Raw genomic sequence first — 25,009 nt, forward strand, 5'->3', positions numbered from 1 at the left:
GAAAATTATGAGCAGAGGTAAAAATCCTTGCAGCATTCTTAGCTCCTTAGCTGTAGTGTCTCTTAGAGAAATGTTGCATATAAGGAATGCTAATTAAGGAGGCTGGGAGAAAAGAGATGCCACCTTTCCAAACACAACATTTCAAAAACAAGTATTACTAACATGGTGGTTTTATGAAGCACTTGAATCTTACATAAGTATGGCTTGTTTTTTGTTTCCTAAAAAAAGACTGCATTTGAGCAAACCAAAACCCGAGTAATTTAAATCATGAATTTCAGAGAAAAAAGTTTTGCATCTAGCTAGGAACTTAATAAAATATAAGTTTTCAAATACTTTTTTTTTCTATTTTAAAATCAGGTACACTGCTATTTGCAAAATCTCTAGTCAAGTAGAAGCAGAAAAAGACCGTCTTAATTTTAAAAGAGTAACCCTGCTCCCATTTATGAGGATTTTTGCAGGGAGAAAGATTTTATAAGATATTCACTTCAATACAAAAGGGCTTAAATTCAAGAGTATTTAAACTTTGAATTTCAACTTATCCCTTGGAATGGCCTCATGGCTAATTTCTTGTCTATATACAAGGTCAAATAGATGTATGTCTTTGGTTAATTTGGACTGACTGCCAAGCAATTTATTAGGAAGCTGGAGGATCTAAATTGATCATGAAGACAACAGAATAAATGGGCTTTGTCTGATTACTTCCGTTTACCTGATGATTAAATCCTGCCTGCAGAAAATTTATGTGACTTCCAAATAACACAGAGACAGACAGACAACCCCATGACACACTATTTAAAACTCTTATCTTCATTAAATGAAAAAAAATCAATTTCAAAAGTACCTTTTGTTCTTTATGTCTTTGTTAAATTACGTCTGAGGAAGTAAAAGAGCTTCTTGTTGCCGTACTTCCTGGTCTATTGTCATATATCCCACAATTGGAGACTTTTTGCAAGATGGGTAATTTGGATATCAAATATGAGAAATTATAAGTGCCTTTAGCAGATACTGCTTTTCCAAGAGTTCAGTGTGATCTTGGATAAAAATTTGGGCAGATGGCTTCCTTTGGAGGCTTATACATTGTTTTCCACAAAATGTAGTTGATGGAGACCAGAGAAGCATTGCATTTTTTTTTTTTTTTTTTTTTTTTTTGAGACGGAGTCTCACTCTGTCGCCCAGGCCAGAGTGCAGTGGCGTGATCTCGGCTCACTGCAACCTCTGCCTCCTGGGTTCACGCCATTCTCCTGCCTCAGCCTTCTGAGTAGCTGGGACTACTGGCACACGCCGCCACGCTCAGCTAATTTTTTGTATTTTTAGTAGAGGCAGGGTTTCACTGTGTTAGCCAGGATGGTCTCGATCTCCTGACCTCGTGATCCGCCCGCCTCAGCCTCCCGAAGTGCTGGGATTACAGGCGTGAGCCACCGCACCCGGCCCAGAGAGGCAATTTTTAAGATGGAAAAAAAAAAAAAGATTCTCTCCAACTCTCTTTGCCCAGCCTGCCAATGCTCCCATTTTCACAGCACCCAGGCCAGCCAAGACCTAACCTTATGCAGAAAAAGGAACAATGCTTTAACTAGGCACAGAGTTCTATTACTTTTGCTACCTAATATGCAAAACACTAAAGGAAGAGGGCTTATTAAAGAACCGCAGCATGTTTTGTAAAAGTTGGTCACTGAGTCTTTGACAGAACTGCTACAGTACTACAGTTCTAAGTTCCTACTGGCAGCTTCTATTTTGAGAGTCATGCCTTGATGGGAGCTACAAACAATGCAGCCCACAGTAGTACACATTCATCCATCCATTCATTCCTTCAGCAAATACACATTGAGGGTGGAATGTGATGGCTGATGTTAAGTTGGTTAGGAGCACACAAAAATGCACAGGACATACTTATTGCTTTGAGAAGCTCTGGGCCTAGTGGGGAAGATGAAGTGACAGATGCTCTTAGGGAGTAGGTTCAGAGTGGTGTGAAAAGTAGGGAGTGGCAATCTCTACCTGGGGAGCTGGGGATGGCCTCACGGAATAGAAGACAGGCTTCAGGGCTGAGAAGGAGATTTCCAAGTAAAGAGCTATAGGAAGGCGATTCTACACAGAGGAGACACCGTGTGCAGTCTCAGACGTGTGCAAGGACACAACAGGACATGTCTGTTTATGGTTTCAAAATTTTACTTAGTTCCCTATTAATTTTGCTAAGGGGGAACCATATGTGTGAGTAGCAGGACTGGGGGATATGAAGGTGGGTCAGAGCCAGATTGTTAAGAGCCTTCAAAAGGAATTTGGTCTTCAACTTAAACAAATTAGAAAATACGTGTAAAGTGCTTGGAAAGATGTCCAGCATATAGTGTATACTCGGTAAATACAAGCTGTTTCTGTTATGTTGAAGTAGACAGGAAACCAACCAAGGTTTTAAAGAAGGGAAAGGATGCTCATGACTATAATCCCAGCACTTTGGGAGGCTGAGGTGGGTGGATCACGAGGTCAAGAGATCGAGAGCATCCTGGCCAACCCAGTGAAACCCCATCTCTACTAAAAATACAAAAATTAGCTGGGCATGGTGGTGCACGCCTGTAGTCCCACCTACCCAGGAGGCTGAAGCAGCAGAATTGCTTGAACCCAGGAGGTGGAGGTTGCAGTGAGCCAAGATTGTGCCATTGCACTCCAGCCTGGTGACAGAGCGAGACTCCATCTCAAAAAAAAAAAAAAAAAAAAAAAAAAAAGGAGGGAAAGGATGATGATGGCAGAGTTGGTTTATAACAATAATTCTGATGCCAATATTGAGAATGGGCTGCAGTGGGGAGGCACTGTCCACAGGCCAGGAAAGGGAAATAATTCAAATAGTGAGGATAAGGCTCAGCAATTAGAACTTGTTCATTACTAAATTCCCAGGGTCCAACATAGTGGCTACTTGCAGTGGGTGCTCAATGAATAGTTGCTGAATGAATAAATGAATGGCAATGGGAGGAGGGAGCAGATCTGAGAAATCTCTAGGCGGCAGAAACAGCAGGGTTGGTGAGTACCAGATGTAGGCGTTAAAGGAGAGGGAGGTTTTTTTAAGGATGACTCTGGAAATTAGGCTTGGGAAGATGGTGTTGCCAAATTCTGCAATCAAGTAGAAAGGAGGAAGAACAGGGTTGGCAGGGAACATGAGGCTCTGGGAGTACTACTTTCTATGCATCTGCTGGGTTTAGCCTCTTGGAGTGTTGAGAAAAAGTGGGCAAGGGAGGACAAAGAACCCTCACATGGGCACTGAGCTGGGTGTTTTCCTTTTTACTGTGTTTAATCCCCACGGACTATGAGTTTGATATTGTTATCCCTGTTTACAGGTGGGGAAACTGGGGCTCAAGATGACACATTAGCGAGGTGGCAGAGCCCACATTAAAAACACGTATCTTTCTGCCACAAAGCCTGAGCTTTTTCCCCCCCTCCATCCATCAAATTGCCTCCTCCATTAAAATGAACATTTGGAATATGATATATTCCATATTTAGAAGGCTCGGGGGTGCAGGGTGAGTACTTTGCAAAGGAACCAAAGCCTAACTTCTGTTAACTTTCTGCTTCATCGATACTCCAAATCTGTCTTCCTCATTCACAGAGTCCCTATGAGGATCCAAAAAGATGTGAGAAATCTTTTGAAAAATATAAAGCGTTCTATAAAAACAAGGTGATATCAAAAATGAGAAGAAAAATATGTTCAGATTCTTGTTAAGGAATTCTAGAACACTGTAAAAGATGACAGAAGCTGGATACTGTCTTAGGACCATTTGACTGGCAACAGCCTCTTTCCAACTATGGTTCAGGGAGCAGGTTGAGGTTTTTCTGTCTTTAGGGGTCAGTCTTCCTAAAATATGAAAACCCGGGTTTGAGGTATGGGGAAAGAATGAATTTTGCCTTCCAAAGGCAGAGTTTACAACTTGACGGCTTTCACTCCTCTTTCAAAAATAAACCTAAATTCCTATCAGTTGTCTGCAGAGTTCCATCAGGGACTTGGTAGAGTGGCCCCTAACTGGGGAGCAGGAATTATATGTGCTTCCTCCTTGTTCTGCAAAGCCTCTGAACACCACCGAGGGCCCATGGAGAGCGTGATGATGTGTCTCTTGGCCCATCACAACGTAAGCATGCTGAGCAGAGGCTCTATCCCACATCCTCACTGTAGCCACAGTGTCCAGCAGGAAGGGGCTCACTGTATGTAACTACAAGAACTTTCGGTGTTTGCATTCTTCCCTTTGCTCTTTAAATGGCTGGCTTCTTCTTCCCACTCAGTTTTCAGCTTAGGTGCCACGCTGGGAGAGGCCTCCTGTGACTGCCCTAGTTAAATAGATCCCCCCTGCTACTCTCTATCACTGCACTCTGTCATTTTTCATGTGGTTCCTTTCAGAATTTATAATCACACATTTGCTTGTTTGGTTATCTGTGCCTCCCTCTCAAACCAGACTGTAGGCTTGAGGGCACAAAGCATGTCAACTCTATTCAGCCCAGCATCTAGCATGGGGCTGGCATGTGGTAGGCATTCAGGGTCTAACTGTTGTTTTAATGAACAAACAGACCTAAACCTGAGATGGTGGGACAACCGACAGGAAAGCAGAAGGCCCCCTCAGCACTCGGGGGCTGTTGTTCCATAATCAGGCTTCATTATGATCTGGGACCAGGGATGGAGCCGTGGATTGGCTCACATGTGGACTGGGCCCACCCCTCTGGACTCATCAGCAAGACATGCAAACCACATGAGTCAATGGTCCACACACAGCCCCAAAGGAGAAGAACACAAGTATCACTATTCCTCAACTTTGGAGTAGGTTCCTTGGTCTCCTAGTTAAATATGCATGGCACATAAAAATAATTGTGCAGACAGAAGGACTCACAGTTGCTTAATGTAGACCAGGAAAGTGTTTGAACCATTCAGTGGGTGGTGCGACTCCTAGGGGAAACCAGCCACGGGTGGGAATAGAAACTACTCCAGGAAATGGTACTGTATGGAACAATTTACATATTTTGGGGCATGGGAAGTTTTGGAAATGCATTTGTTCTCCTCCATATCTACCACTGAAATAAATCCTTGAGATTTAAAATGAGTAGATGATATTTAGTAATATGACTGAAAAATCACATAGGACTCATTTATGAGCCAGGCTTTATGCGCAATTTACAACCTGTATGGAAAGCAACACCATCCCCTGTTTTACAAAGAAGGAAACAAGTTCAGGGAGGTTATGCAAGTCTGTTAGATTTTAACACTTGCACTCCCTTCACCATGGAGCCAAAGCCTAGACTTAATTGTTTAGAATATCATTCTAAATTGCTTTTTGCAATGTCATTTCTTATGCATTTCTTACACACCTTTTAGGTGCCAGGAACGTATTTCTAAAGGCAGGATAGCATTGCAGAAATGCTAGCCTCCAAGAGATGGGGTGTATTTTCCATTGAGAAGCAGAATTAGGGGAAGGGTAGTTTTACCTCCTCAGTGTCAACTGAAATGGCAGTCATTCAACATTTCACTCATTTCCCATCAGACAATTTTAATCTGAATAAAGTTTTTAAAAATCTCTTGGCCGGGCGCGGTGGCTCACGCCTGTAATCCCAGCACTTTGGGAGGCCGAGGCGGGTGGATCATGAGGTCAGGAGATCGAGACCATCCTGGCTAACAAGGTGAAACCCCGTCTCTACTAAAAATACAAAAAATTAGCCGGGCGCGGTGGCGGGCGCCTGTAGTCCTAGCTACTCGGGAGGCTGAGGCAGGAGAATGGCGTGAACCCGGGAAGCGGAGCTTGCAGTGAGCTGAGATTGCGCCACTGCAGTCCGCAGTCCGACCTGGGCGACAGAGCGAGACTCCGTCTCAAAAAAAAAAAAAAAAAAATCTCTTAAGAAACCATCTCCTTACAAATTCCCTTCTTGCAAAATACTTATTTTTCAGTAAATATCTTCGTTGACAATTCTAACAAAGGTACTCAAATTCTATATCCTGGCTATGCCTGTCAAGAGAGTTGAAGGAGGCAGTGGCCATATTTAGAGGGCCAAAACCTGTTCTTCTGGTGGTATATTTTGCTGATCTGCTGATCTTGAAGGACTCCAGTGCCTTAAATTTACCCACATGTCATTTATTGCTGCCTAATGTGCTTATTCATTATTTTTTGAAAATAGAAGCATATTCGGAAACATATTTAATTTTACGATGTTAAAAATGATCACTTCTGGTTCTTCACCAGAACTATATGGAGTACCTGGAATACAGTAGGTACTCAGTAAGTACACTATTAATAAATGAAGAAAATATACGCAGGATAAAATAAACTGTTTTTCATAATTCTATCCATATATGATTTTTAGGATTGTACTGGCTTAAAAGCTGGGACTATACAAATACATCATCAATGTGAAAAGCTGGGAAAATGGGAATGCGAAAATCAAACTGGCTCTTGGCCAGTGATTTTTTTTAAAAAAACAAGGTCTTCAAATGTTTGTAAACTGCAAAATGTCCTTGTTGTCCTTCTCCCTTTTTTTTTACTACTGGCATTGTCATACAAACTTTGTGTCTCTTCCAAATTAGTCTGTTGTTTGGGATCCTTAACTACGGAGAGTGTCAACTGTGCGTCTCCAAGACAAACAGGTTGATGCGCTGTCTTTCTCAGACCTATGCTTTAAAGCCCAGGCTAGGGTCATGCTCTGAGACTAGAGCATTCTGACTTTCTCTGGTCTGCTCTTTTCTGGTCCTTGATTTTCTTATCTGAATCATGGGGTGTCCATTGTTTAGACGGAAGGTTGCAAATATAAATTAAATAATTCCTCAGCAAACAATATCTTTCTGTGAGGTGCATATATCAGTGGCTAGGAAAATATCTGAGGCCTGCTACATCATGGTTTAGTGAATAATTTGCATTTTATGATGTATATACAGTGTAGCTATGAATAATCTGCCAGAAATTATAGCTATACATATATAAGCCATACACTCACTAATGGTAACCCATTCTCCTTATTTTTGAACCCATTCTCGGTACCAGTAATAGAGAGCTCACTGGCTTTGATTTGAGGCAGACCTAGGTTTGAATCCTAGCTCTAATATGTACAGGTTGAATCTCAGGGAAAGAATTCATCTTTCTCAGCTTTAGTTTCTTCATCTGTGAAATGGAGATAATACCAACTTCATAGGCCTATTGAAGGCATTTAATGTGTTGATTATATGCATGAAGACTGATTTGTTAACAAACAGATGATTTCATGTGTGTGTGCATGAGTTGGGTGCAGCCTTAATAAGTGTTCCCCTTCTCTTCTGTTTTGCTATTTAATGTGATGGTGAGGAGAGTGGTCAGTGTTTGTCTGTCTCTTCCTTCTAGAAGTTAGGGTGGCATAAGATGAGGATATGGGGGACAGCAGCCTCAGGGAGATACTGAATAACCTCTGGGAGCCTAGGAGGACAGATGCTTGACACTAGCTGGGGACAAAAAAGGAAGAGCCCAAACAGTTTTTAAAGCAGAATCTTCTGTGTCTAGAAGAATCAATAGGAAGGTGCATCATCAAAAGAACTAGAGAACACAAATGACAGGGTATGACATGAGTGTTCACTTTCATTAAGTAAACACTGCTGGGGTTTACTTAATACCTGGTGAGAGGGAAAAAAAGCAGTATTACTCCACAAACATTTGTTAAAATATCAACTATGTGAGCAAGCCATACAATGGAGAGGCAATGATTCCTAAGACATAACCCCTGCACACAATGATTCCTGACATAACCCCTGCACACAGTGAGTTCTTAGTCACAGGGGAAGCACACACAGACACAAGAGGGCTGTGATTAATCCTATATGAAAGGACAACATGCCATGGAGCACAGAGGAGGAAGTAGTTACTTCTAAGAAGACCAAAGACATTTTCAAAGAGGTGAGGATATTTTAAGCGAGGTCTTAGAGGACGCTGTTCACAGGGAAGAGGAGATGTAAAAGCATTCTAGGCCAATGCACCTGCATGAGAGGAGTGGGATACGGTGTGAGCAATGCTTGGAGAATTGCAGCTATTTGGATACTGCTGGGACATAATGACCTCGGCAGCCAGGAATTGTGGTTACATTGCAGGGGGCCTTGAGGCTAGAGAGAGAGAACTGATTGAGCTTGAGGAGGGAGAGTGGGAAGGGACCCAGAGCACAGATGGAGTTATTGGCTTTGGAGATAAAAAGGGACACATGTTTCTCTGAGTAGGTGAGTCTGGGTGTTACTTGGATAAGTCTAGAGAAGAAGAGACAGTACGTTCTAACAGAACATGCCTTGTTACCTTCATGCTCTCGGTGTAGTGGGAGGCAATGTCACTGGTTGAATAAATATGAATAAATGAATGAATGAATAAATGAATGAAGGTGGCTAGGGTAGAGGATTAAGAAGCATTAAAATGAATATTTCAAGAACTATTTATGGGGGTCAGTAAATATAATATTTCTAAACTCAAAACTTCTAAACTCAAGGTATTTATAAGCTAGTTGAAGATGTAAAGACATCATACATCTTTTCAAAGCACAGGAAGTTAAATGAATGGTTCCTAAAATATGAATGTTCAGAGGGAAAAGTACGTTTATTAACTGCTTGACAAAGAAGTATGTAGCTATATTTTGTGTAACACACTATGGTGTAGTCTTATCTTTTTGGGTATGTTTTTCTTTCTTAATGTTAAAATATTTCATAGCTGGTCCATGTAACTATAGTTATACTTTTAGTTTTACTCAGGTTCCCGATAATGTTTGTCGCACAGACAGGTTTGTGTACTGGTTTTAATAATTCCATTGTACTTTCTACCTCCTCCTCCGCCCCCATCCCCAGGGTCTTCAGGTCACAGTTGGGACCTACTCTATGTACTCTGGTGCTCTCCATAAGCAAATGGGATGATTTCTCTGAAAAGACAGCTCTAGATTATAGTCCTGAAAAAGAGAGCTCTTGAGTCAATGAAAAAATCATAGTTTAGAGTAGAAGAGAAAGGTAAGTATGTTCAGAGGAAAAGCTGGTCAGATGAATGTAAGAGAGGCTTCTTTTATTTGTTCATTTAATTTTGAGACAGTGTCTTGCTCTGTCAGCCAGGCTTCAGCGAAGTGCTGAGATCATGGCTCACTGTTGCCTTGACCTCCTGGGCTCAGCCATTCTCCCACCTCTGCCTCCCGAGTAGCTAGGACCACAGGCCCATGCTACCATGCCTGGCTGTTTGTATTTTTTGTAGAGATGGGGTTTCGTCATGTTGCCCAGGCTGGTCTTGAATTCCTGGGCTCAAGTGATCCGCTCGCCTCAGCTTCCCAAAGTGTTGGGACTACAGGAGTGAGCCACCATGCCCAGTCTCAAGAGGAAATTCTTTTAGCAGAGCTTTGAGAGATAGGTATGGAAGAACAGGCTGGGGTTAGAGTATATGTTGCTAAGGAATCTGACCCTCACTCCATGGGCAATAAGGAGCCATGGAGCAGGGATAGAACACTTCTCTGGCACTACTGGAAGCTGTGATGTCCAATGTATGCTCTCTGGAAGATCTAACTAAACACAACCTTAGCACTTCTCTCAATTTTCTTTGAAAAGGCAAATCTTGTGAGTCATTTGTTCTCTGTAAAATGAGAGAGGAACATACATTATCACCTTATATTATCGATTTACATTAAGAAGACTTCCGGATTCTCTTAGGGTTGTTGTGTCTTTCTAAGATTTCAGGCAGGTGGGTAAATCCTTATTTTCATGGATTTTCTATTGGCTAAAGGAACGCTGTGTGTAGTTTGTTGGAATATACTTTGTAGAAGACATTCTTGCCCTTGTGAACCAGTTTGATTCCCGAATCACACAAGTGCTGGGTTCCAGAAGAGATTTTGGATATAACGCCAGGATTTCTGACCCTACAGCTAAGAATAGGCAGCAATAGGAACTCAAGTTACAAAAAATGACTTCAATAGAGCATTCACATATGTGATGGTATCAGAGCCCAAGTCTTCAAAGAGAAATATTTTGAAACTTCTCCCTGGTTTCTGGCAAGAGCAGCAAATCTTGATTTTTCAGGCCTTTATAAAAATAAGAAAAGACTAACAATTTTAAACCTGGGCATTAATCAACCATTTAATGATGCCAACAAATGAGTTTTACTGTAATTCAGTGCGGGGAGATTAAAGGAAACCTAAGAGCCACAAATAAGCCATTATGAACAGTTTACAGTGATTGAGTACATAAGCTGTGATTAATAATGATCAGAAGTAAATCTATGAATAACAACAAACAGAAAGGACTTGTTAGATTGAGAATTTTATCAGAAAGGTATAATTTGGATGTTGACTCAGTGGTAACAACAGGAAAAATAAATTACCTTTATGCATTTTAGTTTATGAAAATCAAATAGATAATATATGAAACAACATTTAAATCGATACAGCCCAGGAGATATAAAAGTATAGGTTTGTGTGGTCTTCTAATTAACTGACATTTACACATTTTTCTTAAGATCACTGTAAGCAAAATGGGAAAGCTCTCTAAATTTTTGGCCTTTTGGGAGGGAGGCTTTTCAGTCTTGCTCATATTTGAGTCAATACACTGATGTCTTGACTTGCGAAAAAATTTTCACATCCCTGTTTTGGGCTCTCATATTTTCTTTATTACACAGGAAAAAAACTTTATTGCACAGACAAACAGAAGTTAAATTGAATTGATTTTATAAGCTGCAATAAGTACAGCTCCCAGAAACAAATGCAAATGGAATGAACAGTTCTTACCATATGTTTCACATAGGCTACTCACGTTTTCTCTCGTTCCGAGATGATTTCAAAAAACCTGTTCTGTTAATGTATGTATGAAATTCTGCAATCTTAAAGATTTAAAAACCTATATGTTTTCAAAGACCTGAATATCCTGATACACATCCTTTCACACCTGGATGCCAAACACATACACTGAAATATATTCTATGAACAAAGGAATTTGAAAGGGACCACAAATTTCGCATTGCATGCTGAAGCTGTCCTGTGTCAGCTCTTCAAACTGGGGCCTCTGAATTTTAGGAAAAAGTGCTATTATTCTGGTTCAGTAAGTTTGACCCTTTGTTGTCTATCTCTGCTCCTTAGAGACACAAGCAGGCCTTGTGCTTACTAAGTGAATATTAATATCTTCATTAAACCTTGATAGACAAGCACACTACAGCCCTCATCCAAAATATGCACAAAATTAGAAGGCAAAAATAAAAAAAGAGCCAGACATTATAAGCCCGTCAATGGAAGCAGAGAGCCACACCATTAATGGTGGATTGAAAAAGACTCTGTGTTGTTCACCTCCCACGTATAAATGAGAACACACGGTGTTTGGTTTTCTGTTACTGTGTTAGTTTGCTGAGGATACTGGTTTCCAGCTCCATCCATGGACACAGGGAGGGGAACAACACACACTGGGGCCTGTCAGGGGTCAGGGGGAGGGAGAGCATCAGGATAAACAGCTAATGCATGTTGGGCTTAATAACTAGGTGACAGGTTGACAGGTGCAGCAAACCAACATGGCACACGTTTACCTATGTAACAAATCTGCAAGTCCGGTACGGGTATCCTGGAACTTAAACTAAAATTAAAAAAAAGAAAAAGACTTCCTCAGTTTTTTCTCTAATGGCCTGAAGCAAAAATTACTCTCATTTCCTCTTCATTGATATAATTTGTTTTTGAGAGGTGAGGGGACAATGGGAAGAGAGTGGTTTTAAGTCACTATAAAAAGATTATTGACAGATGCGTGGTAAAATGAAAGACTCAAAAATTCCTGACCCTTTCTCCCCTCCAGAGTTAGGTAGGCGGGAAGGACCCCAAACTTCCATACAAGAGTCTCTTAAGGTAAAATTAAGACAGCTTCCCCTTCGGAGTTTATGCTAGTATTTCATAATTTTCCAGCCAAGAGCTGGAAATTATGAAATAGTTGCATAAACTCTGTTAATATAGATGGATCAGGCTCCAATCTTGATTTTGCCATTTCTCATATCATTTTTCTAGGGCTGAGGGGGCGCACTTCTTGGAGTCCAGTTTCTGATATAAAGAGAAAAGCCATTTAGTGTCTTGGAAAAAAACAAAAGAAGGAAGGAAGGGTGTTGTTGATTTAATAGATCACCCTTATTGTTCTAATGGCTCCAGATGGCTCTCCTACTGTGTGGATGAGATTTGACAGTGCCTTCTTGGGGAGAAACAGAAGACTTCACTAGCTTCGCTCAGCAAATGACCACTGATTGCCTGGAATGGAGGAGTTAATGTGATCAATTAACAATGTTTGAAGAAAAATGATGTTTGCCAGCTGTTGATTTCATCAGCAAGAAAAAGCCCACAATAATCATCTTAGAAAAGAACTTAATTAGTTTTGATCCTAAGATAGCATGCAAAAGTTCTGGACTAATTTCTAGTCTGAAGATATTCATAACATATTAGAGCTGGCATGAACTCTGGTGATTACTAGAAAAAAAGATTTTTAAGTTTGTGAAAACAGAGATGTGCTCAAGGTCACCCACAGTTAACAGAAAAACTGGGGCTGAATCCTGGGGCTTCTGAGCTCTGATATGCTGCTTTTTCCCACCACAAATCACAGTTTTTGAGATTCACACTTTGAAAAGAATGATCCAAAGTAACACTGCCATTTTGGGGTGAGTGTTCTCTTATGACAGATGAGTTTTTTTTTACCTTCCTGTTTCCATATGTTTAAAATGCTATTAGTATTTCAAACCTCATTTTCTTTCTTTTTAAAAATTCAGCCATGATTTTAGAGTGACAGATTTGCCATATCAATTTCTAAAGGTAAGTGTTTGGGTCAGTTTGCTTTTTCTCTAAATTGTGTTTGTCATCCCTCAGTGTAGTAAGATTTTGGTGTGGTTATGCTGACATTAAAGTTTCCTTTTCTTAAAATAAAACTAATGACTTGACCTTGATATTGTATAAGAGTACAGGCCCTAGGGTCAGTCATCCTGGGTTCAGAACCCAGCCTACCACTTCTCAGCCATGTATTGCGGGAGAGTTATTTATGGTTCCCTACATTTCAGTTCTCTCATCTATAAAATGGGAACAGTAATAATCCCATTCTCAAAGGGTTGTTTGTGTGAGAATTAAATGAGCTGATCTATGCAAAGTACTTACACAGTGACTGGAACATAGTGAACACTCAATGTAGCTAACAGTTATTATTATTATTACTAGAAAAAAATTGAAAAATAATTTTATGTAATTGTTACTTACATGAGTAGCGGGGTCTCAGCTTCCCAACACACCATGAGAATATGAAATTTCATCAATAAATTCAAATAGACACTTTATGTAAAACCCTTTGCTCAAATAATGTAACTTAGCAATGACTGACTTTTAGATACTGGGGAAATGCATTCATATGAACCAGTGCGACATTCTGAAAACTGGTTCATTGAATCCCAATAATATAGGTTCTTACTCTCAAGTAGGAATCAATAATGCACATCCCCTCTGTACCCACATGCCCCATAAAAAAGCTGTTCAGGACAATCTTGCTTTATATATTATACACATTCAGGGCACATTTAGAGTTCTGAAATTTGAGGTGCAAAGTAAGCATTTTGATAGGGATATTTTTCCAAAGAATGTTTTTGGCCCCAGCATAAAATGAAAAATCTCTACCACAGACAGTTGCATTTCATGGTCCAATATAGTCTCTGCATGAAAACCAACAGATCATTCTACATGTCTCCTGACACATTTACAACAGGCACTCTGTGTAAAACCCATTCGCATCACTGGGGGTTCTCACCAATTCTTAGGCCCTTGACTTATTTGTGACTGGGATACCTTTATCACAAAGACATGCTTTACAGATATTTTCACGGACACAAGCTATTCCAGTCTTGTCCTGCATAATTAAGTTTTTACATTCAGTAAGTAGAGTTCACCTCTTCCTCCTAATGGTAAGTGTTTATTAACCATAATGACTAATAAAGAGGTTCTGGCCTCCGTCACCTGAGAAGAACAAAACAGTGGGGTTTTTCTGCAGCTCGGCTGGATCCCAGCTTCTATGACCTCTGCTGCTAACAGGCTCTCCACAGGCAATGAATGGGAGACGCCAGCTATGCAAATTAGAGTACTGATGTTCCTTGTCAGCTGCAAAGCCCAAATGGCCCTGAAGGTGACCCAAGTGAGGCTTCTGTGCTGTGTGCCTGGTTAGGTGGAGACCCTGATTAGTCTGATTATGGCAACAAATTTTTTAATTGCTTTATGGGGTGCATGAAAATTATATGTTTATCTCCTTTTATTGAATAAAGTGTGTTGGTTGTATATGTTCAATGTTGGTAGGGAGGAAGGTATTCTTATATATAAAGAGAAAATCTGTTACTCTTTATGTCAGATCAGTTGATAGATATTAAACAAATCATGTTGTTTTCTCATATTGAGTATAGATCACTAATGACCAGCTGGAACAGAAGTAAACTTGTACATTAGCCAGTAATGAACAAAATGCTAAAGATATAACTAGAGAAATTCTAGAGGTAAGGAAATAGTCCACATATATTAATACATTTTTTCCCACAGTCATCTTGGTAGAAAGTTGACCGTGATGTCGATGATATAACTGGGTCAGACAAATACCTTTTAATAGTCTGTATTACTTACACACGCATACGTGGCAACAGATTTACCTTAGACATAAACACGAGTTTATATTCCTGGAGGTGTCCTAGAAGCATGCTGACTGTTGTGTCCTCAGTATTATTCACTTCAATAACCGTAAGAGCTGGCGTTCTCTCCAAGACTCTGTTCCTTGAAGGAAGGAACTATCTACTGTTCCCCTAGTAAGACCTGGCCTACAATAGGTGTCTGTGATGCTTTTTTTTTTTTTCATTTTTAAATGTCCATTTTGTTTATTGATACATAATATTTGTGCATACTTATGGTACGTGTGATATTTTGATACATGTATAGAATTTGTAACAATCAAGTTTAGAATATCCATCACCTCAAACATTTATCATTTCTCTGTGTTGAGAACATTTCAAGTCTTCTCCTCTAGCTATTTTGAAATATACAATATACTGTTGTTAACTACACAGTAGTCACCCTACTGGGCTAAGGGATGGTTAATGTGTCTACTCAGCTAGATCACAGTGCCCAGATATGTGATCAAACATTATTCCAGATGTTTCTGTGAGGATGTTTTTGGATGAGACTGCTGTTCACACTGGTAGATTTTGAGTGAAGTAGATTACTCTTCCTAATGTGGGTGGGCCTCATCCAATCAGGTGAAGGCCTGAGTAGAACAAAGGACTGACCTCCCGCAAGCAGGAGGGAACTCTGCCAGCAGGCAGCCTTTGGGATCAAACTGCAGATTCTGGACTTGCCAGCCTCCATAACTGCATGGGCCAATTCCTTAAAACATACCTTTCTATGTATGTATACTTACATCCTAGTGGTTCTGTTTCTCTGGAGAACCCTAATACTGTGTCCAGTAAAAATCTGTTGTCTGATGAAGGAAAGATAATTGCCTGCCTCTTTCCATCCCTTCAACACTCACCCTGACTCTCAGAACACACGCTGTTTGGCCTCATCCTAATCTCCATTCCCTCAGTTTCTCTGTTACATCCCTGCCATTTATCCCATTTATGATATCCCTCCTTCCTTAGGCAGGATAAACTTGAAGATACTGTTTTCATCTTCAGCATACTACCTCCTTTGTCTTTCCTCTGCTCGCCTTGTAAATCTTCAACATCTAATCAAATCATGTGCCTTCTCTAACCTCACTGTTGTTTTCTGCTGGAGAGAAGCCCTGCCACCAGCCAGTACATATTCATAATGGTTGACTGTATGTGGCTGGGCCCTCAGACCGCTCAGAACACCTTTTCATGGTCCTTAGTCAGCCCCTACTCTCTACCACCCCAAATCTTTCTTGCTATTCCTCTGGTCTCCCATTTCTATCTTCAGACTCTCGATCTTATTGCCTGACAAATGTTTCAAGCAGAACTCATCACCTTCCCCACTTCTTGTTCCTCTTGCTTAGTCCCTGTTGTGATAAATTATGTCCCTCCCCTCCCCATTCATCTGCCCAAGCTGGAAGAAAATTTGGCATCATCCATGCCTCTTCTTTCATCTTCAATTCCATCACCCATCCAGTTATTTAACAAGCGTTAGCTGAGTGGCTATTATGTTCCTGGCATTATTCTAGAGCTTGGGATATAAGAGTGGACAAAGTAAAACAAAAACACTCCTGCCCTCATGGAGCTTATATTCTAGCAGGGGAGAAGGATCATGAACATAAGAATAATTAAATTTACAGAGTATATTAGAAAGTGAATAAACGAGACAGGGAAAAATAGAGCATGAAAAGGGTGATAAGAATCGACGTGTGTGTTGGTGGGGAGGTGGAGTGTGCAGTGTTAAACATGGTGGTCAGGATATGCTTCAATGAGAAGATGGCACTGGAGCCAAGACTTGAGGTGAGGGAGGGACTCACACAGATATCTGGGGACAAATCACTTTGGGTCAAGGCAATAGCTGGTATAGAGGGCCTGTCTTAATCCATTTGGGCTGCTATAACAAAATGCCATTGGCTGGGTAGCTTCAAAACAACAAAAATTTATTTCTCACAGTTCTGGAGGCTGGGAAGTCCAAGATCAAGATGCTGGCAGATTCGGTATCTGGTGAGGGCATGCTTCCTAATAGATGGCCGTCTTCTCACTGTAACCTCACGTGCAAGTGTTAGAAAAGTTGGGGGAGCCTGAGGGTGTCTCTAGGTTGTTGTTGTTCTTGTTAAGGTACTAAGCCCCTCCCAAAGGCCCCACCTCCTAATACCATCACTTTAGGAGTTAGGATTTCAATATATAAATTCTGGGGAGACACAAACGTTCATATCTAAAGCAAGGCCCTAAAGAGGGCCTTTTTGAGCGAAGTAGGCCCTAAAGCAAGAGTGTCCCTGGCATGTTGCTCGAGCAGTCACAGCACTTCTGCGAATCTTCAGTTACAGCACTCCTGTGAATCTCCAACTGTCCATCTCACTGCTACTACCTCAATCTAGGCTCTGGGCCTTCTCACCTAAATTAATATACTGATTTCCTAAGTGGTTTTCTTATATCTGGTCTTGCTGCATGCCCACCTACTTCCCACACCGAGCTAGAATGACCTTTCAAAAACACAGATGTCACCTCATCAGAATTCTTCCATGGCTCCCCACTGCCCACAGGCTGACATGTGCACATTGGGAGGGCTTAGCCCTCTCCCACCTGGCTCCAGCCCACTGCTGCAATATCACAATATCACCTCGCCCATCCTTGACGCTTATCCAGAGGTCTGTACATAAGATTCTCTAAATGCACCAAGTTCCCTCTGGACCCTTCACCTTTGGGACACTGCTTCCTCCTCATAAAACACCTATCTCTTTTGCTACCCATTGCAACCCTCCTCGTGCTAGAAAGCATGGCCTGGTCAGCTCAGTCTCATTTCCCTTTCCCTATACAACATTGCTTCCTGCAGAAAGTTCCTCCTGCCCTTCCTCTCTCTGGCTTAGGTACCCTCCACTATGCTTCCACAAGAGTGTGGCTATCTCTACTGCAGCAATTTCATACTGTATCTTCACAGTCTCTTTATTTTTTGGGCTCCCCTAGTAGGTTTTGAATATGGGCAAGGATCATGCTTTTTAAATATCCCAGCACTTGGAGCCTTACTTGATACATAAGGAGATACTACATAAGTTTTGGTCAAATGAATAAACAAATACACAAATAAGCCCCATGTGGAAAGGTGAGGATTATATAGATGCATAAATAGGGAAAAACTATATGCAGAAACTGTACATAGCTTCCTCTAAAAAGGAATTTCTTATGGAAGCAGAATCTGTAACCATGAGGCAGCCACCCAGAGGAGTAGAGTAATGATTTGTGCTGCTCCAGTGACTATGGGTTAGGATGAGTTTCCAGGTCAACTGGATTACTCTGATCCCTCTTTAGAGCCATTGCAAGAAATCACATCTCAAGGAAAGACTCTTCTGGCACCTAATCTCTTTTGTACTTTAGTCCAGACAGTGCGAGGCCATCTTCAAATAAAACAATCTCTTTGGCTTCACAGACAAGAAAAATGTAATCTATTTCCTACACGTGACAACAAGAGAAAATCTAAAATGGCACAAAAATGTAATGGTAATATCCTACAGAGAGGAAAGAGCTGAATCAAAATGAAATATGACCAAATGCAATCAGCAGCTAACAGCAGGAAAAAGGCAGCTGTCATCTTCATTTCTTTCATAAACTTCTTAGAACAAATTATGTCTTTTAGAATGTAAGTCAGTTTGTCGGGCGCAGTGGCTCACGCCTGTAGTCCCAGCACTTTGGGAGGCTGAGGCGGGCAGATCACGAGATCAGGAGATCAAGACCATCCTGGCTTCATCCTGGTGAAACCCCGTCTCTACTAAAAATACAGAAAATTAGTGGGGTGTGGTGGCGGGCACCTGTAGTCCCAGCTACTTGGGAGGCTGAGGCAGGAGAATGGTGTGGACCCGGGAGGAGGAGCTTGCAGTGAGCCGAGATCGCACCACTACGCTCCAGCCTGGCAACAGAGCAAGACTCCATCTCAAAAAAAAAAAAAAAGAATATAAGTCAGTTTTCTTTCTGGATACTACTTCGTAAAGCTTCTGCCGTTTATGGGAGGTAAAGCATTCTCTGCATCACCCAACTTCGAAGCTGGCCTGCATTTGCTTAGACATTTCATTCATGAAAGCCTGCCCTCTCTTAGCAGAGGAGCGATCTAAACACCACAGTCCCAAACACCTCCATCTGACTGTCTCCTCTGTTTGTCTATCAAACCACTGATTAAAACACATTCTGCATTGATTGATTAATAAACAGGTTTCAGCAGCTCTGGACACTCAGAGTCTAGAAGGAGAAAAGTCTAGACTCAAATAGATAAAAACCCGTAATTCAAGGCAGAACACACCCTGGGCCCGAGGGGGCTGGAGGAGAGGTGCCAAGTGTGGGCTGCGCATGGAACGGGAACACTGGTGTTAGGTGTGGGCTGCTTGGAACGTCCCAGGAGTAGCTTGCCTCATGTTGCAGACTAGGAATCCAGCTGTCTGGAGGTGGAAGAATCCATGGATGGTGCATATTGCAGAGACACGGTTTCAAAATCTTTTGCAGGATGCACATGTTAGAAAAGAGATCTTAAAAAATAAAAAATCCTCTAATGGCTTTAAATGAGCATGAAGCATTCAGATGTTAATGTTTAGCTGTGTAGACAAGGTGTTTCCCAAGTTATCTCAAAGGTTGATGACATGACGAATTGCCCCCTTTAAAGAAAATACCAAATACACGAACAACAAACTTCCCCGAATGTGTTGACTATCTTTTGGAATGAAGAGAAAATCTGGGTCGAGTTGAAATCACCAAAAGTCAATCCACAAAGTGGAATGACATTGCTAACACACTTAGCATGAGACCTGACCCCATCTGATTATTGCTCAGCAAATGGGGGCTGTCCTGATTGATTACTATTTGTCCAGTCTCTCACCAGCTGAGCTCTTTCCTCTGTTCCTAAAATAAAGGGTAGGGTGGGGGACTTTGTGCCAGATAACTAATCTTTACTCAGTACCTTTTCTGTTTCAGGCATTCTGTTAGCAGCTTGATGTACTGTTCTCATCTATCTCCTCAAGAGTCCTTTGAGAGATATATTTTATAACTGTTTTGTAGAAAAAAACCACGAAGGATCTGGAGATGTTAGGTGTATCCAAGGGCACAAGATGATTGGGAAGGAGTGAAGATATGGATGCCAGAGCCTGAAAACACTCCATGTGTCCCATGGTAGCTTGTTCTTTGGCCAAGTAGCCCTTGCACACCCCCGCCTTGTCTTGAGACATGTCACCAAAGACACTCAAACCATAAGCTCCATGAGGAAGGAATTTTTTATTTTCACCATTAATTATACCCCAGTTCCTTCCACAGTGCTTGATGCATGCTTGGTATTCAATACATATTTATTAAGAAGTGAATAGACCCAAGGCCTGGGATGAAGTTTCTGTCTCCACCACCACTTTCCACCCATTCAAGAGTGAGCTGCTCCCCTACGAGGACTGGGCACGAGTCAAAACACTCCTGGGAAGGATGAAGTCTTTTGGGGAGTTCAAGAACTCCTGAGTCCGGACAAGACTTGTGCCAACCTGGGTGACAAAGGAACTGTGAGACCCTGGATGGAGTTACAACCCGAAGATATGCCTGAGGCCTGTCATTCAGCACTTAATTCCTTTTTCTGGTGAAAATTAAAGTAACTAAAATCCTGGAACCCTAGAGGCTTCCAGAATTGTAACAACTGTCTTCAGTAGCCATCAATCTAATTACATTTTTGCAATATTCTCATTTTGAGCTACAAAGGTACAAATTACACAAAATTGTGTGTGGAATGCATACATATGTATGTGTGTGTATGTGTGTATATATATGTATATATATAAACGTTAACATTTAGATGTTAATGTTTAGCCATGTAGACAAGGTATTTCCCAAATTATCTCAAAGGTTAATGACATAATTGTCCCCTTTAAAAAAATACTGAAAACATGAAAAACAAACTTCCCTGAATGTGAGCCTCACTTTGTTCTGTACAATGGAGATAATAAAACCTTCTGTTTCACATGAAGAGTACATGATGGAATATGGCAAAATGTCCTGAAAACCAGAAAGTAGTCTTGTCAATAGCCAAGATCTGCCTGACTTTTTCACTTGGGGTGCAGTAGTTAAGAGGGAATGTGCTGGAGCCCAGCTCTGGCATGGCCACTAGCAGGTTTGGGAGAGCCTGTGCTTCAGTTGCTTTACCTGTAACAGGGAGATGGAAATGTACCCAGCTCCTGGAATTGTTTGAAAGATTCAATGTGAATTCAATGATATAACACATCTAAAGCACTTAGAAGAGCCCAGCACATGAACAATGCTTAAACAAATGTTTGCTGTGATTATTACTGTGCTTTCGGGATCACTGTGCAAATGACGATTCTGGTCAGCTATGCATTCCCAGAGCAGTGGAAGGGTTCACTAGCAGCTATCTTCAGTAATACACTGCAGTGAGGGGTAGTCAGATCCAGGCCCACAATCCAATAAAGGTGGTTGGTCCCAGAAGTTATTTTGCCAGATAGGCAGAAATCAAATTGAAGAGAAGAGCTTTGGGGAGCATGTGTTCTTTACTTCCTTTTCCTCCCTCCCTCACCCTTTTCTTTTCTTTGCTATTTAAATAAACCACCACTTTCAGGCCTGCCTGGGAGAAGATATTAGGGCAGCAGGGAGTCCAGCTGGGAGATGATGAGGAAAGCAGCTGAGCCCCTGCTATTCCACCTCATCCACTCCATCCTCCCCAATTAACTGGTAACGAGGTGGTGACGCCCTAACCACATTTCACTTCCTGCTAACAAAGCTTGTACAACAAATGCAAACACTTGGCTGTCAGCTTCTGTCCAGCACACAGCCTCGTTATCCATCTCACCCTTCTGCATCTATGTCAGCATCCAGGAGGCAGGCCCAGGACGACAAACCTTCTTTGTGCTACACTCAATGCCGTACCAGGCTCTGATGGTGCTTACAAAATGCCTTTGCCCGACAGTAACAAGAAAGGTCCCTTATAGATGATTTTGTAAGAGGAGACATATTCTGTGCAGGCTTGTGTCATTCCTCTGATTATTCAGACTGGGAGTAGGGGCAGGGAAGGTGCCACCATTTCATTTCTTCCTTTCTCATCTGATAAAAATTTCTTCCCACCTCTTTGAATTGAGGTCAGGTCTTTTTCCCTTTTCTAAATTTGCCTCAAAGAAGTCTTTTTCATTTTTCCTTAAGAATGACTTTAATGGTCTACATTTTAACCTCTTCCTCATGTAATGTAAGTGATCTGCAAACTTTCTTATATCTTATTCCTTTTGAATTTCAAATTCCTTTTTTTCTAAATCAATCCCATTATGGCAAGACATTATTACTTTCTGCTCACATAAATACTATCATCCATAATTTTCTCTCTTCCCTCATAAAGCATGATTTATGTTGATATTTAAAAGTAAATTCTGATATTTAGTCTAAGTACTGTCTTACATATTAATTCAATAACATAATTTCTACGATAGAAAAGTACATAAGAGTACAAAATATGAAATAAGCTTGATATAGACATAGTTATCTGCATTTGACCAGTGAGGAAACAAAAGCTCAGAAAAATTAGATACCTTGCACAAATCACAAAGAAATCAGTGGTTCAGCTGAAAATTAGAACCAACATCTTCTGATGATTACACAACTTTTCTGGTTGACTACCAAAGAAGATACTAGAAAAATTACTAATGAGTGAAAATAAAAAGACATTTCAAAGTCTTTCATATTTAACACAAAATTATTTTTCCATAGAAGATATTCAAGAAGCAGTTACACATTTGAGGAGCTGTTTTTTTTTAATTAAAAAAACCATATTCTTTATCTACATCTAGATAATGTAGATTGATGATCCATCTAAATCAAGAATTTATCTTCTACAGTGGGAACAAATTACTGGAATTTAAGCAACGTGAAATCTCATCACTTTAGCAATGACAATGAATGTGATGTAGCTTTCAATGCAGTACTGAAAAAGCTTGTACACTGTCACATGTCCCAGGCCCTTAGGAACAAAGTTTAGTATGCAATGAGTGACGAGCTCTATAATATTTTCATTCGAAACAGAGCTACACAGGAAATCTAGGATGTTTATAATAATATTTGGAATATTTGGTATAAATGTAAAACATTGTAATAGTTTTCTGGGCAGATAAGAGCTCATCATATATCCTTTTAGTTAAGTCAAGTGACTCTGGAGTCCAGTTATACCATTAGTTCAAACACTACCAAAGACTAAATACAAGCTCTTACAGGCTGAATTGCATCTCCCCAAATTCATATGTTGAAGCCCTAATTCCCAATACCTATGAATGAGACTGTAGTTGAAGACAGGGCTTTAAAAGAGCTAATTAATGGCTGGGCATGGTAGCTCACGCTTGTAAGCCCAGCACTTTGGGAGGCCGAGGAGGGCAGATTGCTTGAGGTCAGGAGTTTGAGACCAGCCTGGGCAATACAGTGAAACCCTGTCTCTACTAAAAATACAAAAATTAGCTGGGCATGGTGGCGTGTGCCTGTAATCTCAGCTACTCGGGACGCTAAGGCAGGAGAATCACTTGAGTCCACGAGTTGGAGGTTGCAGTGAGCTGAGATTGTGCCGCTGCACTCCAGTCTGGGTAACAGAGCTAGAACCTATCTCAAAAAAATAAAAAAGAGAGCTAATTAAGTTAACATGGGGGCATTAGGGTAAGCCCTAATCCCATAAAACTGGTGTCCTATTGAGATTAAAACACAGACATTACAGAGGGTTGACCTTGTGAGGGTAAAGTGAAAAGGGGGCCATCGCCAAGCTAAGGAGAGAGGTCTCAGAAGAGACAACCGTGCTGATACCTTGATCAGCTGACACCTTGCTGATACCTTGATCAGGGTTCTGGAGGCAGGACTTCCAGCCTCCAGAACTGTGAGACAATAAATTACTTCTGTTTTAGTCACTGTGGTACTTTGTTATGGAAGCCCTAGCAAAACTAATGCACTTAACAAACTTAACACCTACTTTCTTCCTCCAGCCTCTGTGCCTGTGTTTCATGCCAACTTTTAGTTTCTCCTTGATCTGCCAGTAATACAAAGATGAGAAGGTCTGGAAGGAGGATTTAGGATAAGCTGAGAGGATCCATCTTGTAAGACTATACTTTCCTATGAAATGCTGTTTCCTCCTTGTTGCCTGGAAAACTCATCCTCAATCTTCTAGACCTACAGTTGGGTTATTCTTCTTCAGAACCTTAATCTCTTCAAGGTGGTGCCTCTGCTACACCCTATAAACCCACCTCTGGCACAGCACATATCACACCATGTTAGAATTGCTTCCATTGGCAACTCCTTCCTGATCTTGTGAATGATTTGTGCTGCTCCAGTCACTATTAGGATGAGTTTCCAGGTCAACCTCCTGTTTTGAAAGGAGGGACTTACCTTTGTGGTCATGTATTTGACACCTAAGACTTACTCGTTAAGTGTTTGTTGAATGAATGAATGAAATAAAATGATCTCCATTCCTATTCAAATAAGCCTGTAAATAACAGTTTAAGCATGGTCATATTTGTTTGTTGAGAAAGAGAAGTATTAAGTGATATAAGGTTTAAAAAAGCAATAAAATCTGCAAAAAGAAAAGTGTCTATTGATGAATTTATTAACAGGAAAGAAAGTAATCGAGGATAAGAAGATGGAAAAGGTGGAAGAAGAGACCTTGACAACCTGAAAAGGTTATACCCTTGTGCAGATGTGGTGGACAAATCCTCACCTGAGAGGAGGAATCAAAGGGGCAACTGCTCTGAAACCGGCCCTAGAGCATCCAACCTAAAAACAATGCCTTCATCATGAAGTTCCAGAACCAATGATTCAAAGGATACCCCACTGAAAAAAGACAGTCGTCGTCCTAGAGGTAAAAATCACTTTACTTGCCAATAAACAGAAACATGAGCAAATGGGAAATAAGCAAAAATGAAATGATGTGTGTGCTCTCTTCCAAAGGGCAGCAAAAGCAGCTGAGTTAATGCTAATGGCTCACATATGGTGGGTGGGGGGAAAGGATGTTATAAGTCACAAAACCCTGGAATGGAGCAGAGGCCTGTCGGCAAGTTAGGTGGTGATGATGGAGTCAGGATGACTTGGAAACACTGTGAAAAGATGGCTTCAGATAATGGGCCATTATCTGTCTGCCTCTTTTCACTTTGACTACTGTCCTCTATAAATAATGTAGCTGGCTAATCTAAAACATACAGAATCAATAGGAAGCCAAATATTTAGGTACCACAAAATGAGGCAAAAAAAGAGCCCAGATTTTCAAACAATGCAAGTGACCCTGAAAATTGTAACTTGGCAAGTCTGCAATATTGTGAGAGCAATAACAATCTGTTAACATCTAGAGGGAATAAACCCAAAAGAAATAAGAAGCCGAGCTTTATGAAGGGAAAAAAAAAATGGCACGCCAAATTTGATTGCTTTTCTGATGG

The 25,009-nt window shown here is 40.9% G+C and overlaps 1 protein-coding gene across 73 annotated transcripts in view, besides 3 other annotated features; it reads right to left on the reverse strand.

Moving 5' to 3' along the window:
* The window catches only part of ANKS1B (ankyrin repeat and sterile alpha motif domain containing 1B), a 1,250,151-nt gene that overhangs the window by 114,551 nt on the left and 1,110,591 nt on the right, over positions 1-25,009 (reverse strand). The window lies entirely within an intron of this gene.
* Positions 7,093-7,691: an enhancer, noted in NCBI's record as "H3K27ac hESC enhancer chr12:99250207-99250805 (GRCh37/hg19 assembly coordinates)". NCBI's record gives its function as "activates a minimal SCP1, AML or CMV promoter by ChIP-STARR-seq in primed H9 embryonic stem cells {active_cell/tissue: H9 hESC(primed)}" and the evidence as "EXISTENCE:reporter gene assay evidence [ECO:0000049][PMID:30033119]".
* Positions 7,692-8,289: an enhancer, noted in NCBI's record as "OCT4-NANOG-H3K27ac hESC enhancer chr12:99250806-99251403 (GRCh37/hg19 assembly coordinates)". NCBI's record gives its function as "activates a minimal SCP1, AML or CMV promoter by ChIP-STARR-seq in naive H9 embryonic stem cells {active_cell/tissue: H9 hESC(naive)}" and the evidence as "EXISTENCE:reporter gene assay evidence [ECO:0000049][PMID:30033119]".
* Positions 11,757-12,498: an enhancer, noted in NCBI's record as "OCT4-NANOG hESC enhancer chr12:99254871-99255612 (GRCh37/hg19 assembly coordinates)". NCBI's record gives its function as "activates a minimal SCP1, AML or CMV promoter by ChIP-STARR-seq in primed H9 embryonic stem cells {active_cell/tissue: H9 hESC(primed)}" and the evidence as "EXISTENCE:reporter gene assay evidence [ECO:0000049][PMID:30033119]".

The sequence above is a fragment of the Homo sapiens genome, chromosome 12 (assembly GCF_000001405.40).
Source record: "Homo sapiens chromosome 12, GRCh38.p14 Primary Assembly".
NCBI classification, from domain to species: Eukaryota; Metazoa; Chordata; class Mammalia; order Primates; family Hominidae; genus Homo; species Homo sapiens.